This window comes from Homo sapiens, chromosome 15 (assembly GCF_000001405.40).
Source record: "Homo sapiens chromosome 15, GRCh38.p14 Primary Assembly".
Taxonomy (NCBI): Eukaryota; Metazoa; Chordata; class Mammalia; order Primates; family Hominidae; genus Homo; species Homo sapiens.
The window spans coordinates 85,066,150-85,082,282 of record NC_000015.10 but is presented as its reverse complement, the minus strand read 5'-3'; the positions used below and the strand labels follow the sequence as shown (position 1 = coordinate 85,082,282).

The following is a 16,133-nucleotide window of genomic DNA, read 5'->3' as shown; positions in this document are numbered from 1 at the left end:
ATAAACCTTATACCTATAGGCCAAAACAGAGCCCCTTTCTTACCCAGAGGTCTGACAGAGGTGACATGCCTGCCAGCTCCCACCGACTGAGAAGGGAGGAGTATGCTAGACCTGCTGTCCACACCTCCATCAGCCAAGACCCCATGGGAACACCCAAAAACACTGGACAGGAACCCACTTCTGATTGGGCAGGGACAGGGAAAAGAGATTTCTTGACATAGTGCTTGTGCCACTCCAGGAGACATGGAATCGGGGCCTTGAGATAGACAGGGGTCCTCAGTTCCTCCGCAGGTAAGATTCTGGGATGTGAGGGCTGTGGAGGGGATGTGAGGGCTGTGGAGGGAATGTGTATTTATCCATTTCCACAAATGGATTCCCATGCATGCAATCAGACTTTTTAATTGGTCTGAATGTTATGTATCCACCAAACTTTTTTACCCCAAAGGCAGAAATCAAGGTAAAAAAAACTAGCATGTGACCAAATGTACAGCATCTTGCTCCTGTTTGCCCCCTCCCTCAAAACTTTTGTTTTGCTATGCGTGTTTAAACACTGTTCTCTTTATCTAAACATCTCATCTTTCCTGCCCCTTGCCAACTTTTGTTTCTGTCCCAAGGATCCCACAGGGCATGGAGGGTGAAGAATCAGGTCCAGGGATCCTCAGAAAGCAAGCTTATTCCCTCTGCTTAAACAGCGGTTAGTCTCCTCTCCCTTAACCTTCTTCCACGAAAGGGGCTGGGACTACAAATCCTAGACTTCTAAGCTAACTTAACCTCACTTTCTCCAAAGCATATCACACCCACGGCTAGGACCTGAGCCCATCTTTGCTAGGCCTCTCCCAGTGGTTCTCAACTCTCAGCTGCATATTAGAATTATCTGCAATTTGAAAAAACACCAGCATGCAGGCCCCTCCCCAGACCAACTGAAACAGACTCCCTAGGGATGTTATTCAGGTGATTCTAATGTGCACCCAGCAGTGAGTCTACCGACTCAATGGCCAAATCCAATTGAGGAAGCTAGCAGGTCCTCCACCTACTTTTCAATCCTGAAACATGGCTAAAACACAAAATAGCTCATGGCCTTTCCTATGCCCCATCCCCTGTACCAGAGATATCATTATGGTGTTAGCTTTCAGATTCAAGCCTTGGCACCACCGCCTACAGCCATGACTGGGAGAATCCCCTTCCTCCAGGTCTAACTCTTCTTCTCAGTAACCTGAGCATCCTTTTGTCACACAAAAGTAAGAGACTCTGGATGAGATTAGTTAGCACTAATTAGTTAGTGGTCTCTGAGGACTGGTTGACCGCATGAATTCCTCACCTACAAAATGGAGAGCCTGCCACTACCTCTACATTTCCTAAGTCAGGTGCTTCTAAAGTGACTACTGTAAAGCTTTTTGGGCTTTTTGCATGGACGTGTCCTCACAGGGGCGTGCACCTAAAAGTGGTTCCATTGAAGTCTTCAGGGGGTTCCTTGATTTTGATTAAGGTGTGCAGGCTTGAGGCAGCAAGAGTGTGTGTGTCAGTTACTTTTCAAGTTAGCTCCATGATAACACAGTAATACTAAGAAAATATAAGGACCATGATTTACTTGACCTTCTACCAGGATGCTCTTTCTGGTCCACAGAACTATGCTGATAGACTTCTTGGGCAGAATTTCAAACACGGCAGTCACCAGGCACAAATTTCCAACAGTGCATCTATGTACTTTCAAAGAGACCTCAAACAAACACAAGCCTTAATGACCTCATGCGGCTGTAGGTAAGCAAATAACCCAAGGCAGAGGGAATAATCTATCCCCTAAGTTTCACTAGAAAGTGGAAGCTTCTAAGGTTCTTGTTAAAAGGAATAGCCAGTTTTGCGGCCTTAGTTGCAAAAGCAAGCAGCTTAGGGAGGGATGACATAAAGATCCATAGGGGACTTCTGACTTCCAACCTGGGACGCCTTACTGCTGGCTAAGTAAACTGTTCTCATACAATTTAACAGGAATTACTAGAGGTCAGGGAATGGAGGTAGGTGCTGATGTGTATGTATGTTGTGGGGGTTGTCCAAAAAGGGGGAAACACAAGAAAGCCACAGCTATATAATCAATAACCTAATGTGTGCTTTTTATATAAAACTGTATTTACATATAAACTAAAATCTTAAATTCCACCTCATCTGATATTAATATCAATATCAATATCTGTGTTCTTTTTGTCTGCATTTACTTGCTACCTCTATGTTCTTTTACTTAAGCTCCTTTTATCATGTTAAGTGTCTTGTAACTGTTATAGAATTGTACTTTTTCAACCCAATCTAACAGCCTATCTTTTAAAGGAAGAATTCAGCCCATTCATATACATTTGCTTTTATTCTTTCTTTTTTTTTTTGAGATGGAGTCTTGCTCCCACTGTGCAGGCTGGAGTGCAGTGGTGCAATCTCAGCTCACTGCAACCTCCACCTCCTGGGTTCAAGGGATTCTCCTTCTTCAGCCTCCTGAGTAGCTGGGATTACAGGTGTGCGCCACCATGCCCGGGTAATTTTTGGATTTTTAGTAGAGACGGGGTTTCGCCATGCTGGCCAGGCTGGTCTGGAACTCTTGACCTCAGGTGATCCACCTGCCTCAGCCTCCCAAAGTGTTGGGATTACAGGCGTGAGCCACCGTGCCCAGCCTGCTTCTATTCTTTCTATCTGACTTTGTGTTTCTCACTGATTTTACACTGTTGTTTCATCTTTCTTCAGCTTCTCAATTTGATCAAGTTGCTGTAAACTCCCTATTTCCTCTTGTTATTTTGGAAGTTTTACTTAAGTTTCCTGTTCTATCAGCGGTTACCCTCCTTTTCATCATCTCAAAAGCAGACATAGATTTCTTTACTATTATTTGAAAACAAGATACCAATTACCCCCAGAATAAAGTATTTCCCACATAGAACATTTCCCACAAAGATGAATACTTCTTGGGCTCATTCTCACTCTACCTCTTAGATAAGTCTGTAAGAATGCCTGCATCCTCCCCACAAACCTTACAAACACCTAGCGTTGACTAAGATAGTCTAGAATTTAAAAGTGAGCTATTATTAAAATTCCTCTTTGAGTATGTCCCTTCTTTTAAAAGAATATTATATATTCTAGTCTATGTTTATCTGTTTGGGACTAATCTTATACATATATGCATAAGTGTGGGTACATCTATAAAGAAAGACAGAGAGCCAGAGAAAGCAGGAGGCACCATGAAGGAGTATGCACATGGCAGGGTTTATAGCTCACTACTTTTCCCTCCTCTCCTCTTCAAATTTCTGTTGTAGTTCATTTCTTATATGGTTAGAGTCCTTTTCTGAATTATTTTCCTTGGGGAACTATATCTCTGAATTTTATGTATATCCCCAAAAGAAAGGTTAAACAATAACTTGGCTAGATATATGATTAGTTTGTAGTCTCTTTCTCCCTGTATCCTCTCATCAAACTAGACATTATTATTGTTTCATACAGTAAATATGTATTTATATTTACCCTATACAGACCATTTTCTTTACTCATCTCTTGCATTTCAGACCTTCCACCTGGAATTCACATTCCTTCTGGTTGAAGTATATCCTTTAGCATTTCCTTGTGAGGATCTGCTAGTTACAAATTCTCTCAATGTCCACATTTCTGAAAGTCTTTATTTCACCTTCATTGTTGAAAGATATGTATGCTAGGTATAAAATTCTAGGAAGTTCTTTTCTTTTCTTTCTTTTTTTTTTTTTTTTTTTTTTGAGATGGAGTATCGCTCTGTTGCCAGGCTGGAGTGCAGTGGCACAATCTCGGCTCACTGCAACCTACCTCCAAATCCCTGGTTCAGGCGATTCTCCTGCCTCAGCCTCCCAAGTAGCTGGGATTACAGGTGTGCACCACCATGCCCAGCTAATTTTTGTATTTTTAGTCAAGACAGGGTTTCACCATGTTGGCCAGGATGGTCTCAATCTCCTGACCTCGTGATCTGCCCACCTCGGCCTCCCAAGGAAGTTATTTTCTTTTATTGCATTGAAAATGTTATTCCACTGTCTTGTTTTCCACTTGTTGCTGCTGAGAAGCTAGCTGTTAGTGTGTGTGTCAGTCTTTTGAAGGTAATCTTTTACCTGTGGCTGATTTTAAGTCCTTTTCTTTTTTTTTTTTTTTGCAGTTTCACTAGGATGTGTCCTCTTTTAAAATTTACTCTACTTTGGATATGTCAGAATTCATGAATCTATGAATTAGTTTTTCATCAGTTCTGGAAAATTTTCAGCTAGTAACTCTTCAAATATTTCCTCTGTTCTATCCTTCCTCTTCTCCTGGAACTCCAGTTACATATACACAACTAAAACTTCACACACTATCCTCCACATTTCTTCACCTGTCTAACTTATTTCCTGTCATTGTATTTCTGTGCTACATGTGACTTACTAAGTTTTAAATTGTTCAATTACTGTGTTTTCATTTCTTACAATTCAGTTTTGTTCCTCATAAAATTTGCTATGCCACTTTTAATAGTTTCCTATTCCTTGCAGATATTTCCTGGTTTATCTTTTATTTCTTTACCTATAGTAAGCATACTTGCTTTATAATTCATATCTCATAACTAATCTCTGAGGGGTGTGAGGGTCTGTTACTAGGCTTTTTTCCCTCCTAGTTTTTCCTTGGGATGCCCTGTCACCTGGTGGATTGACTCCAGCTTTGACTGACTGCTGCCGGCTGCCCTTGAGCAATTATTTATGGAGATCCTCTGCGGGCAAAGATGAAGCTGTCTTCCTCTGGGGAGGATTTATATTTGCTTCTGCCAGGCACTTAGGAGTCCTACTCATCCAGAAAACTTGAAACTAAATTCATGGCTTGAGATTTCTTGACTACCTTTCTTATACTAACCTGGGCTACAAATCTGCCCAAGGGTCAGCCTTATTTAAGTTCTCTCTGTATGATTCCTAAGGCCTCATTTGCAGCCAGCTGACCAAAGCCCCAAGCAACCTTTTGGCTTAGGGAAACCAAGAGATTGAAGCTGGGAGTGGAGAGAAAGAGAGCTGTGTTTGGGCTGCCTTATTTCCAGAATCCTTGAACTAGCTTAAAAAGTTGCATGTATACATGTCAGCATCATAACAATACATCCTGTGGTATAATTTTTAGTGAAAATGCCATTAAAGGAGATTTTATTATGTTTAGATGACCTTAGCAGGCATAGTTTTGAGAGACTATGAACTATTATAGATTAGATTAGCAGATTATAAAGTTAAACCAAACTGTAAAACAAGGACAGTAATTTTTTTTTTAAGTACGATTGAGGCAGGTTCTCCTTATGTTGCCCAGGCTGGTCTTGAACTCCTGGGCCCAAGGGGTCCTCCTACCTCGACCTCCCAAAGTGCTGGGATTACAGGTATGAGCCACCACGCCTGGCCAGACAATTTTTTTTCTTCAAATTAATACAAAGCTTTTGCTGGGTACTGAACTGAGATAAAATAATTTCTCAAATTGAATTATACTTGTATAACAAATAAGTGAGTACATACCCTTGTAAATCCAGCAGAAATGAAAGGCATTACGGACAACTCTTCTCTATCCACCCTTCAAAATAACACAGTAAAGAACATAGACATAGTTTTTATCAATTACATCTCACCTCTTTTACTCTACTAATTTAAATAATACTTCGTTATGTAATGAGTACTTTTAGATGAATCAGATTAATATACAAATTTAAAGGATAAAGTTGAAAACTGTTTTCTGTTTCAATTTCACATTTAGCTTTTTGGAATTATATATTATAATACTTGAAATACACAAACTACATTAATAGCAGGAATACAGGAGTGTTCATATATCTTTTTAATATATAAAATTTTTAATTTAAACTACTCCTATTTTCTTCTACTTCCAGGTTTTTTTTTTAATTCCTTTCTCCCCTACAGCTCAGGAAAAAACTTTAAAGTACATAGAAACATTTCTTCTATGTATAAAAACATATAAGCTAAATAACATTAATTTGAATACTTGCCCTTCTCCTAATATATTTCTCTTCTTTCCTTACCTCCAATTTAAAGACAAAACCTAAGATTCCCCCCTCAGAGATATTTGGAGTTAGAAGGCCCTAGGAAGATACCCCTGGAAAACATTCATACTTTTAGGAATGGAATTCTCTCATAGTTCGCCTGTTTCTAAAGTGAAAGGCAGTTTAAAAATCACAAAAATCTAGCATGAGAGCACAAAGTCCTTCCAGGAAGTTAACTGAAGCAGCAAAATAAAATAAAGAATAAAGAAGAGAAGGCCACACTACAAAGGGGCATGCCTGACACAGCATGCAAGCTGTTATTTGGCCATCTGTTAAGAGCAAGTATTACACTGGTACCTCAATTTCAACATTAAAAAAATGAAAGTTTACCTGCGTACTACACCAACAATAACTGTGTTTTCTGAGAGTTTTGATGATCTGATAGACCTTAAAAAAAACACAAAACTTTAAAATAAATATAAAAATAATCCTTAAAAACCAAATATACTTAAACAATTACAACAATTAAAGTTGGAAGAGGGGTAGAAGGGAGAGTAAATGATCCCCTCACTCTCTGAATTCACTCACCTTCTTGACTACTTGATCTTTCTCTCTTTTGGGGGCAAACTCCCACTCAGTGGACTGTGTTAACTGTAATGATTATGGAGTATGAATTAACAGCTAACTAAGATGACATGTATTCTACTTGTTCTGATCTTTGTTAACCTGCATTGTTTCAGGCGGAGTATTTTCCCTGCTTTGTGCTTACATGAAAGAAGCCGTTGGTCTCTTCTTCCAAAGGAAAATGCAAGTTTATGTCTATTACCACAAGATGATGGCTATGCTTACAACGGGGATAAAGGAGCCCAAGGGCTGGCTCCACTGCATTCTAAGGAGCACAAAGGATGAAGAGTTACTAGGTAAAATGGAGGCTAAATAACCAAAAATAATCCAAAACTAGGAAATGCAAGATATTGTAATCGGTCAGAAAGAAGAGCATCAACACCTCATGAAAAGGTTAAGAACAGAGGACTGGTCTAGAAAAGTACAAGAGACTGTTCGACTAAAGTTACCCAAAGAGTACAAGACTTCCCATACAGAGTAAATTCAACCCTTTTGCAGAAGCAGCTTTAGAGGCCATGGGGAATGAAAATACAGCCAAAATATCAGAGCAGAAATAAATGTGACATAGAGTAAAAGAAAGAAAAGAAGTGCTCCACTGGAGATATGCAACAGCTTTGAACTCATCCTACACTGGGAGAAGCGAGCAGACTCTAGAGAAGAACAACTCCACTGGAGAAGAAAGGAACTCACCCCAGACCCAGAGGAAGACGACTTATGTTGGAGAGGGACTCTAAAAGGAGGAGAATGTAGAGGAACATAACCAGACTGCCCTAGTCAAGTCAAAGGTGAGCTGGCCTCCTGGAGAATGTGTCTAGGATGGCACAGAAACCAGTCAAGACTGACTGCATTTGCTTCAGCTGTTAGTTCAAGGTATAGAGCCACTTCTGAATCACAAAATCCAGAAAATAATTTGAGTGACTAGTTCTCAAGTCTCTCAAAGATGGTATACAACATAACCATTCCAGATGCGTAAGAGATTCATCATGCACGATGGATGCCCCCATCTTTTTGAGACAGGTTCCTATTTGTCACCAGGCTGGAGTACAGTGGTGCAATCACAGCTCACTGCAGTCTTGACCTCCTGGGCTCCAGCTATGAGTAGCTGCGACCAGCTGGCACATGCCACTGGCTAATTTTTTTATTTTTTGTAGAGACGAGGTCTCACTACATTGCCCAGGCTGGTCTCAAACTCCTGCATTCAAGCAGTCTCCTGCCTTGGCCTCCCAAAGTGCTGGGATTACAGGCGTGAGCCAGCACACTCAGCCAAATGCCCCCGCCCCAGTCTTAGCAAACTTTTCTGTAAAGGGTCAGGGAATAAATATTTTAGGCTTTGCAGGCCATATGGACTCTTGTCACAACTACTCAACTCTACCACTGTAGCACAAAGGCAGTCACACATAATACACAAATGAATGGGCAAGACTGTGTTCTCCTTTGCCCATTCTTGCCTGTAGGGATTCGGGCTTCATTTTCTTATGGAATCCAGGTTGAGAAAGGCTGAATCTAACAACACATGCAGAATAGGCCAGGGGTAGGGAAGTTGCTCAGGAATGGAAAAGCAGCTCTAGCGACCAGCCAGTCTCTCTCATGTTCACTTCTTCCCCACCCCCTCAACATCCCTGCTTTTCTGTGTTCACTCTGTACTCCTCTAGCATCCACCTGCCTATCCTCTCCAGAGGGAGCCAACCTAAGGGTGCTGCATGGCTCTGCTGGAAGACCCCTTGCAGACACGCCACCTCAGGGCTTACTGGCCAGGTGTCAATCCCCAGTTCAACCCTGGTCCCCCTGACTGGGGAGAGCAGGCAGGCTCAGCTTCCTGGGGAAGAGCTATGGGAAAGGCTGCTTAGGCCTGGAGGGGTCACTGGCACAACAGACACTCACAGACACAGCTAGTGCACTCATCACACCTGCTGACTAATACTCATCCTAACACTGATCTCAAACAGGGAATAAGGCGTGACTCACAAATGGTATTTTCATCACTTCTAGTGACACTGTATCTGTCCTGTGTTTACATTTCCATCATATCACAGAGATTTGGAAGGAGAAAGGGCAAATTTAAGTATGTAGCCATTTCAAACCAGCTTTCAGCTTTTTAGAAGAAAAATCAAGATGGGAGTGATGTAATGGCAAGTAGGCAAGTAGGTAGGTGATCTCACTAAGGAGCTTTGAATGAACTACTCCTATCTGGAGACACAAGAATGAGAAGCACTGGATTAAGGATAAAGTGGAAGGGAGGACCTTGTTTACCTGGAGATAAGCCCTTAAAAACAGCTCTAAAACTGTATAAAAAGGTAGAGACATACTGGGACCTTTTCTGGTGCATATGAAGGAAGAACGGGCTAGAAAACAGAAATGTCAGGAAACTGAGTTGAAAAATAACATCCTTGCATTGGAATTCATGAAAACTAGGAAAGAAATTACTTGGCATTATTGAAATGTATACCTGAATGTTCAGGAAGTCAGAATTCAAGAAGGTCACGAAAAAGATGGAGTGCGATCCTGTAGAATGAGATTCTGAAAGCAGTGTTAAGTACTCAGGGAAGTCCCCACCCACCCCACTTTTTTTTTGAGACAAGGTCTTGCTCTGTCGGCCAGGCTCAAGTGTAGTGGTGTGATCATGGCACACTGCAGCTTTGACCTCCTGGGCTCAAGTGATCCTCTCACATCGGCCTCTCAAGTAGCTGGGACTACAGGCAAGTGCCAACCATGCTTGGTTTATTTTTTGATGTTTTGTAAAGATAGGGTTTCACCATGTGGCTCAAGCTGGTCTCGAACTCCTGGGCTCAAGCAATCTGCCTGCCTTGGCCTCCCAAAGTGCTGGGATTAGAGGTGTGAGCCACCAAGCCCGGCCTCACTGGGAAAGTCTTAAAAGCATGCTACTTGGTTTACCATTAGGAATCCTTTTGGCCACACAAGATAGAAAACACCAGAGAAGAGTGGTTTAAACAGTATCTGTCTCACACATCAAAAATGTGCAGAGGAGACAGTCCAGGGCTGCCATGGACTCTGCAGGATCAGGAACCTAGCTCCTACCAGTGTTTCTCTACTATTGTCTGTACATGAGGTTTCTTCCTCATGGTCCAAGACAGATACTGAACACTAGCCATAATGTCCACATTCCAGATAGCAGGAAAAAGGGAATGCTCCTTCCCTAAGTATACTTTCCAGAAGATACACATGATAGGTCCATTGGCCAGCTGTAAGAAAAACTAGGGAATGCAATCTATTTTCTAGGTAGCCATATGCCCAGCTACACATCAGAGATTCTGTTATTAGGAAAAGAATAGAAATGGATACTGGGGGCAACTACCAGACTCAAGCTACTCTAGGCAACTACAAATAATTCTGATAATGGTCTCAACACAACACTGGAAAAAAGGCCACATAATGGAGGCTCACTATAAGAACATAGCCCAGCCCTTTAATGAGTTAAGTTTCACAAAAGCACAACTCCATTACTTGTGCTTTGCTATTTTTCTCTGCCATGTGGAATGAGTTTCAGATGAAAAAGAATGGGATTTATAATGGTATAAAGGATCTGCACACCAAGGTGAATCAAGAAATTGTATAAAAGCATCTGGTGCTCTGAGTTCAATCTTGCTTCTGCATTCAACATAGATTTTAATTCTGTTAATGCGTTTTGGGTTTTCAAGTAGTACTTTTTTTATTTCCTCTATATCCCTTTATGAGATCTTCCCTTTTATTACAGAGACCTACTCCTGTTGCACCAAGAAATACTGCTGCACCTCTTCTGAGTCCACTAAGCATATGTCTTCAAAAGGTTCTACAGTGTCTTATAAAAAATAATTTTCTTAGTCTTCAGGGCTGTTCTTTCCCCCCTCATTATGTGGTGGCACTTTTCACAGGCCCCCCTTCTCATCCTGTTTACACACCCCTGAATGCAATTCGCATCTATGCAGGCTAAGAGTTTGCCAACAAAGAGGGTCACAAGAGTTTCCTTAGCACCTCTTCACTGAACCCTTGGTGTCAGCAGCTGTCCTCCTCTTAGGTCTGGGCGGTAGATCACATCAACAAGCACAGTTCGGGCTTGGAGAACACTGCCAGCAGGCATGCACAGGTCTGCTGCAGAGCGGGGCTCCTGGCCTGTTCTCTCTGATTCTCAAACTGAACCTGAGAACTGATGCAATTTGTTGTTTTGAAACTGCAGTATGTGGAGAACTGTCTTCAGGTTCCTTATACCTCTGTCCCTTCTTAAAACATAGTAGGAAAAACCATGTCTCTGTCCATATCCCTCTCTTCCTTACCTTGGGTTTCTGAGTAGATGCAGAAAGTAAAGAATCAGGGGCAGCAGGGATGGCAGGGGCAAGAGTGCAGGCCTCTGCCCAGCTCATAAAGCCTTGCTGCTCTGCTGGGGCTCAGTCATCTGTTTCTCTGGTTAGAGCAACTCCAGCATCCCAGGCTTGGCAGAACACAGTGGGAGTAAAGCAAAGCCTGTTTCCACTGCCTTCCTTTATGGCCACTGGTATTTCAGCTTCAAAGACTGAAGTGCTTGAGGCACAGTTCAGAAACAGGCTTCTTTATTAGTCTCCACGGTACGACAGATACAGTAGAGATTCCTATCCTTTTCTGTTCTCTCAGCTTCTGACCTATCATCTTATCTTTGTGGGTTTTTATTTATTATTGCTATGGTCAATTTTTGTCTCTTTTTCCCTCTTCATGGGTTTTTTGATAGGAAGTTGGGAGGAGACATTGATATCAAGTGCTACAGTGGGAATATGAAGCTATACTCTGTTAGGAACTACTGGATGGCCTCTAGCAGCCTCACAACTGATTGATTTGCCTCATCTCCTCCAGTTTTCTACTCCATTCTCCACTTGGCAGCCAAGTTATTTTTCTATCCTGCTCAACACTTTCCTGCGCAGAATCTATCAGTGTTTCAACTACCTACGGGGTAGAGTCCACAGCCTTTGGCTTAGCACACAAGGCCTTCATCATTTGGTTCACGTCTGCTGTTCCAACCTCCCCTGACACCTACTCCACATCTGCCTGACCAGCAGCCATCTAGCACTGAGCAGAGGTGCCCGGATGTCCTGCCTGTTTCTACACATGCCGCTCCCTCTACCTGGAACATTTTCTCCACCTTTTTTCCTTTCAAAACTCCTGCTCATCCTTTAAGATGCAACTCAAGTATCCTCTTGCGAAGCCCTCTTTGACACAGGCACCCACAACACTCTGCGTAAACCTCTTCTGCGGGCACTTACAAGCCTATACCGAAATCACTCACTTTCCCTGCTAACTAAAGTATTAGCTCCTCAGAGACAAGAAGCACATCTTACTCATCTATGTAGCTCTAGTACCAAATGCAGTGCCCAGACCTGAGGAGACTTACAACGTAGGGTTCCTAAACTGGTAGATTTGGAAATATAATAGACATAGAATATTTGCTGTTAGCAAGGCATCTCATAAGGAGTGTAAGGAGTTCCAAATGCCCCCAACAGAGAGATACAGGTGAATGCTAGTCATTTAGACAGGTCAACAACCGATGAAAAGCTCTCCATAGGCAGTGTTGATTAGGTATCCCAAAAGGGAAGATGAAGGGAAGGACAGAATTCTGCAGGGCTAAGGTCTCAAGAGCCATGTAAGTCAGCTCAGAGACAGGGCAAGCTGGTTCGGGGGTGGGGAGCCTGGAAAGATTTCTTGAACAGTCCAAAGTGGGCGGGCATCCTTAAAGGGATGATCTTAAGGGAGATAAGCCAGGTAAGGGCCAGAATGAAGACAAAACTGATTAGGAAAATAAATCAGGGTCTGCTCTTGCCTCTAGAAAACTCACTACGATTAGCACAAGGACCCATCCCTACCCCAAATCCTCACCCAACAAGATGGAGATGACGTGGTAGAAAACAGCTTGTGAGAAACACTTGAGATTCTTGACCAAGGCTGTGATGTGGCCATCAGGAAATAAATGTGATCGGGGATTACATTTGTAAAGGCCTGCTCTCTCTGGCTAGCACAGTGGAGGGGACTGTTCTGCTTACTTGTCACTGGTTCCCCTAAACCTAGTGTGAGCTTTTCGGTTCTGGAGCCATGCTTACAAGGTCTATCAATCAGAAAAGGGTACTCAGGGGAAGCACCCTTGATGTGGTGGGAATATGAAACCAGGATCTGTTAGGAGCCACTCATAGCAGTAAGGGTGTGCTCAGTTCAGAAAAGGAAAGATGTCTGGGGTGGGGGGACACAATTCCTGTCCTCCAGTGTTGGAAGTCCATTCTGGGGAAGAGGAATAATAGCTCTGTTCTAGCAATCCTGTGCGCCAACTGTGGACAAAGTTGGGTTCAATATAAAGCAAAGCTTCTAAATCTCAGGGTTTCACTTAGTGAGCCCCAGGTCCTGAGGAGAGGCTGGATGGAGAGTGCTAGGCACTTCATAGAGGAGAGGCACATCTGACATTCTCTGCTTCTCTAAAACCATATATTAAAGCAATCCAGTTCCCATTCTTTACTTTAAAACTATATAAAATTGTTATTTACATGACGAAAGAACTCTGATTAACTATAGTGCTTATGGAATTTGGTATTTGTGTGAGTTTTTAACTGAGCACGTAACATTACTTTTTTTCATTGAAATATTTCAGCTCCTCTAGTCTATAAGCTCATAGAAGACAAGAACTTCATTTTATAACTTTCAGTCTAAAACATTCTCTTGTACATAGCTCAATAAAAATCTGCTGAATGAATTAACCCTATTTGTTTAGAATATTCCTAAAATGTACAGCAATAGTACATTTTCTTCCCTTAAAAAGTGGAACATAAAGTTAATGTTATGTTTCTTTTACCACAATTTTTAACAGTGGAGCGTAACCAACACAATTTAAATTTTCTTTTACAATACAAGATGCTCTAGTAGTCACCTTTAAAAGTATGAACTTTCATTGCCTAGCACATACCTGTGGCTAGGCTTGGGCCTGGACAAGACTAGGAAAGAGGCCAAATTTTCTCCAGCCCCTCACCCTGTCCTCCCTCTTCTATCTCGGCAGCCATTTGGCCCACCTTAGACACCTCTACTGCCTTGCAACATTCCACCATGACTACCAAGCACCATGTAATTTAGATATCATCTTCCCTTCCTCTGAGTGGTATCTATTCAATGTTAGGGATAAAAGGGATACTGGAAACCAAGTGTTCCAAATTTACAGCTGAGCTAAAACATCCCCAGAGAAGGCAGAGTTACCCAGAGACAAGCAGCTATCCAGGAAGAGCCAAACAAGGACCTGGACCTCCCTTTTTCCTGGCCGGAGCTCTCTCCATTTCTTTTGGGCTGCAATCCCCCATGAATGTGCTGGGTGACTGGCCAAATGACATGTCAAGAAATCTGGGGTAGGGCGGGCACAGTGCGGTGGCTCACACCTGTAATCCCAGCACTTTGGGAGGCTGAGGCAGATGGATCACTTGGGGTCAGGAGTTCAAGACCAGCCTGGCCAATATGGTCAAACACCGTCTCTATTAAAAATACAAAATTAGCCAGGCATGGTGGTGTGCGCCTGTAATCCCAGCTACTTGGGAGGCTGAGGCAGGAGAATCCCTTGAACCCTGGAGGTGGAGGTTGCAGTGAGCTGAGATCGAGCCTTGCACTCCAGACTGGGTTACAGAGTGAGACTCCGTCACAAGAAAAAAAAAAAGAAATCTGGGCTACAATGATGATGGCTTATTGTGAAGTCATGCAGATTGAAACAGATGAGGAACACAGGCACATTTCAGGCACTAGATCAAGGCCACAGGAGAAACTACTGGAGGCAAGTCATGGAAGGGTAAACGCTACCTAGTCTGACTACCAGGAGTGTAGAGTTCTCAACACCAAGGAAACAAACCCATGTTGACGTCACCACATACCCCATAAATAATCTTTTAATATGTTGTCATTTGCTTGTCACCTCGGTTTTTAACCCATGGGTTTTTAATCTACTTAGCTTATATCTTTTCTCTCTCTTAAAAGTCAAGATTTTAAATGTCCTTAAAATTAATATGTCATAAAATTTTATATTTGCCTTGCTTCCATCAGCAACAAATAACTTTCTTTAAAAGGCATTTTTTAGGTTTAGGTCACTACAGAGAATTCTCTCATAATATTGACAAGGTGCAAGTATAATAAATAAAGCCCATTCATCGAACATTAAAAGACAATTTTCAAAATTTTTAAAACTTTGAAAACAATCTGAAAAATTATAATTCTTACTGCACTAATATACAAGTGATACTTGTGGTTAATTACATTTTGGGTTTCACTTTGACCCTTAATAATTCTTATTATTCACATTTTCTTACTGTTTCAAGTAAAGTGAAGCAAGACAAAACAAAAGAGATATGCATCAGTCCTATAAATAGTGAGGTTCTAATATTTTGTTTATTTCACATGCATGGAAAGCAACTTAAAAGAGAGTGAGTCTAATTTAATCTATTTCTAGGCTGCATGTATTGTCAGAAAGGCCAATGGGACTATTTAGGCCCGAGTCTTGGGCTTACCTGCACAGTGCCTCTGCATCCAGCTGTCGAGGATTTCTGTGGTCTATGATGATAATGTCATGATGTTTGTCCAGGAAACAGGCAAGGACAGCCTGAGCCTCCTTGGTAACTGTACACTTAAACCCTGCTTTTTCACATGCCCTGCAGAATCCATTACATTGGTTATCTTCTTTGGTAAACACTAAAAGTACCTGAATCAAAAGAGCACAAACACTTTTTTTAAAAAAAGATGTTAGAATTGTCATTTCTTACACTTTTTTTTTCTTGAGACAGAGTCTTGCTCTGTTGCTCAGGCTGGAGTGTAATGGCATGATCTTGGCTCACTGCAACCTCTGCCTCCCAGGTTCAAGTGATTCTCCCACCTCAGCCCTGCCGAGTAGTTGGGCCACAGGCACATGCCACCATGCCCAGCTAATTTTTGTATTTTTAGTAGAGACGGGGTTTTGCCATGTTGGCCAGGCTGATTTCGAACTCCTGGCTTCAAGTAATCCTCCCACCTCAGCCTCCCAAAGTGTTGGGATTACAGGCGTGAGCCACCGCGCCTGGTCAGAATCGTCATTTCTGTGTGTGTGTGTGTGTGTGTGTGTGTGTGTGTGTGTGTGTGTGTGTGTGTGTGTGTGTTTTGGGGGGATGGTGGGTGGGCAACAGGGTCTTCCTCTGTTGCATGGGCTGGTGTACAGTGGTGTGATGTCAGCTCACTGCAACCTCCACCTCCAGGGTTCCAGTGTTCTTGTACCTCAGAGCCCCCAGTGGCTGGGAGATTACAGGTGTGCGCCACCACATGCCCGGCTAATTTTTGTATTTTCAGTAGAGATGGGGTCCCTCCATGTTGCCCAGGCTAGTCTAGAACTCCTGGACTCAAGTGATCCACCTGCTGTGGCCTCCCAAAGTGCTGGGATTGCAGGTGTGAGCCACTGCACCTGGCCATATGCCTACTTTTTTGCTAAGAAACCCACTGGCAGAACTCAACAAAGATTTAGTTAAGCATTTTATCTTGAAACTAAAAGAATTAAAACACATTAATATTTATTTTAGCTGAAAGAAAGTTAACTGGG

The 16,133-nt window shown here is 42.3% G+C and overlaps 1 protein-coding gene across 9 annotated transcripts in view; it reads right to left on the bottom strand.

Annotated features, from left to right (window-relative positions):
* PDE8A (phosphodiesterase 8A) overlaps positions 1 to 16,133 on the bottom strand; it is a 158,676-nt gene that overhangs the window by 56,860 nt on the left and 85,683 nt on the right. For 8 of the 9 annotated variants that reach the window (XR_007064457.1, NM_001243137.2, XM_047432657.1 and 5 more), the window contains exons 3-5: positions 15,079 to 15,269; positions 6,365 to 6,421; positions 5,496 to 5,550 (exon numbers count right to left, since the gene is read on the bottom strand). Coding sequence is in view for 7 of the 9 variants with exons in the window: in NM_001243137.2 (NP_001230066.1) it covers positions 5,496 to 5,550; positions 6,365 to 6,421; positions 15,079 to 15,269 (303 nt within the window). In the remaining 2 variants the exon portion in view is untranslated. Of the gene's footprint in view, positions 1 to 5,495; positions 5,551 to 6,364; positions 6,422 to 15,078; positions 15,270 to 16,133 lie in introns of those variants that run through there. The other variant, XM_047432658.1, reaches the window with a different exon arrangement.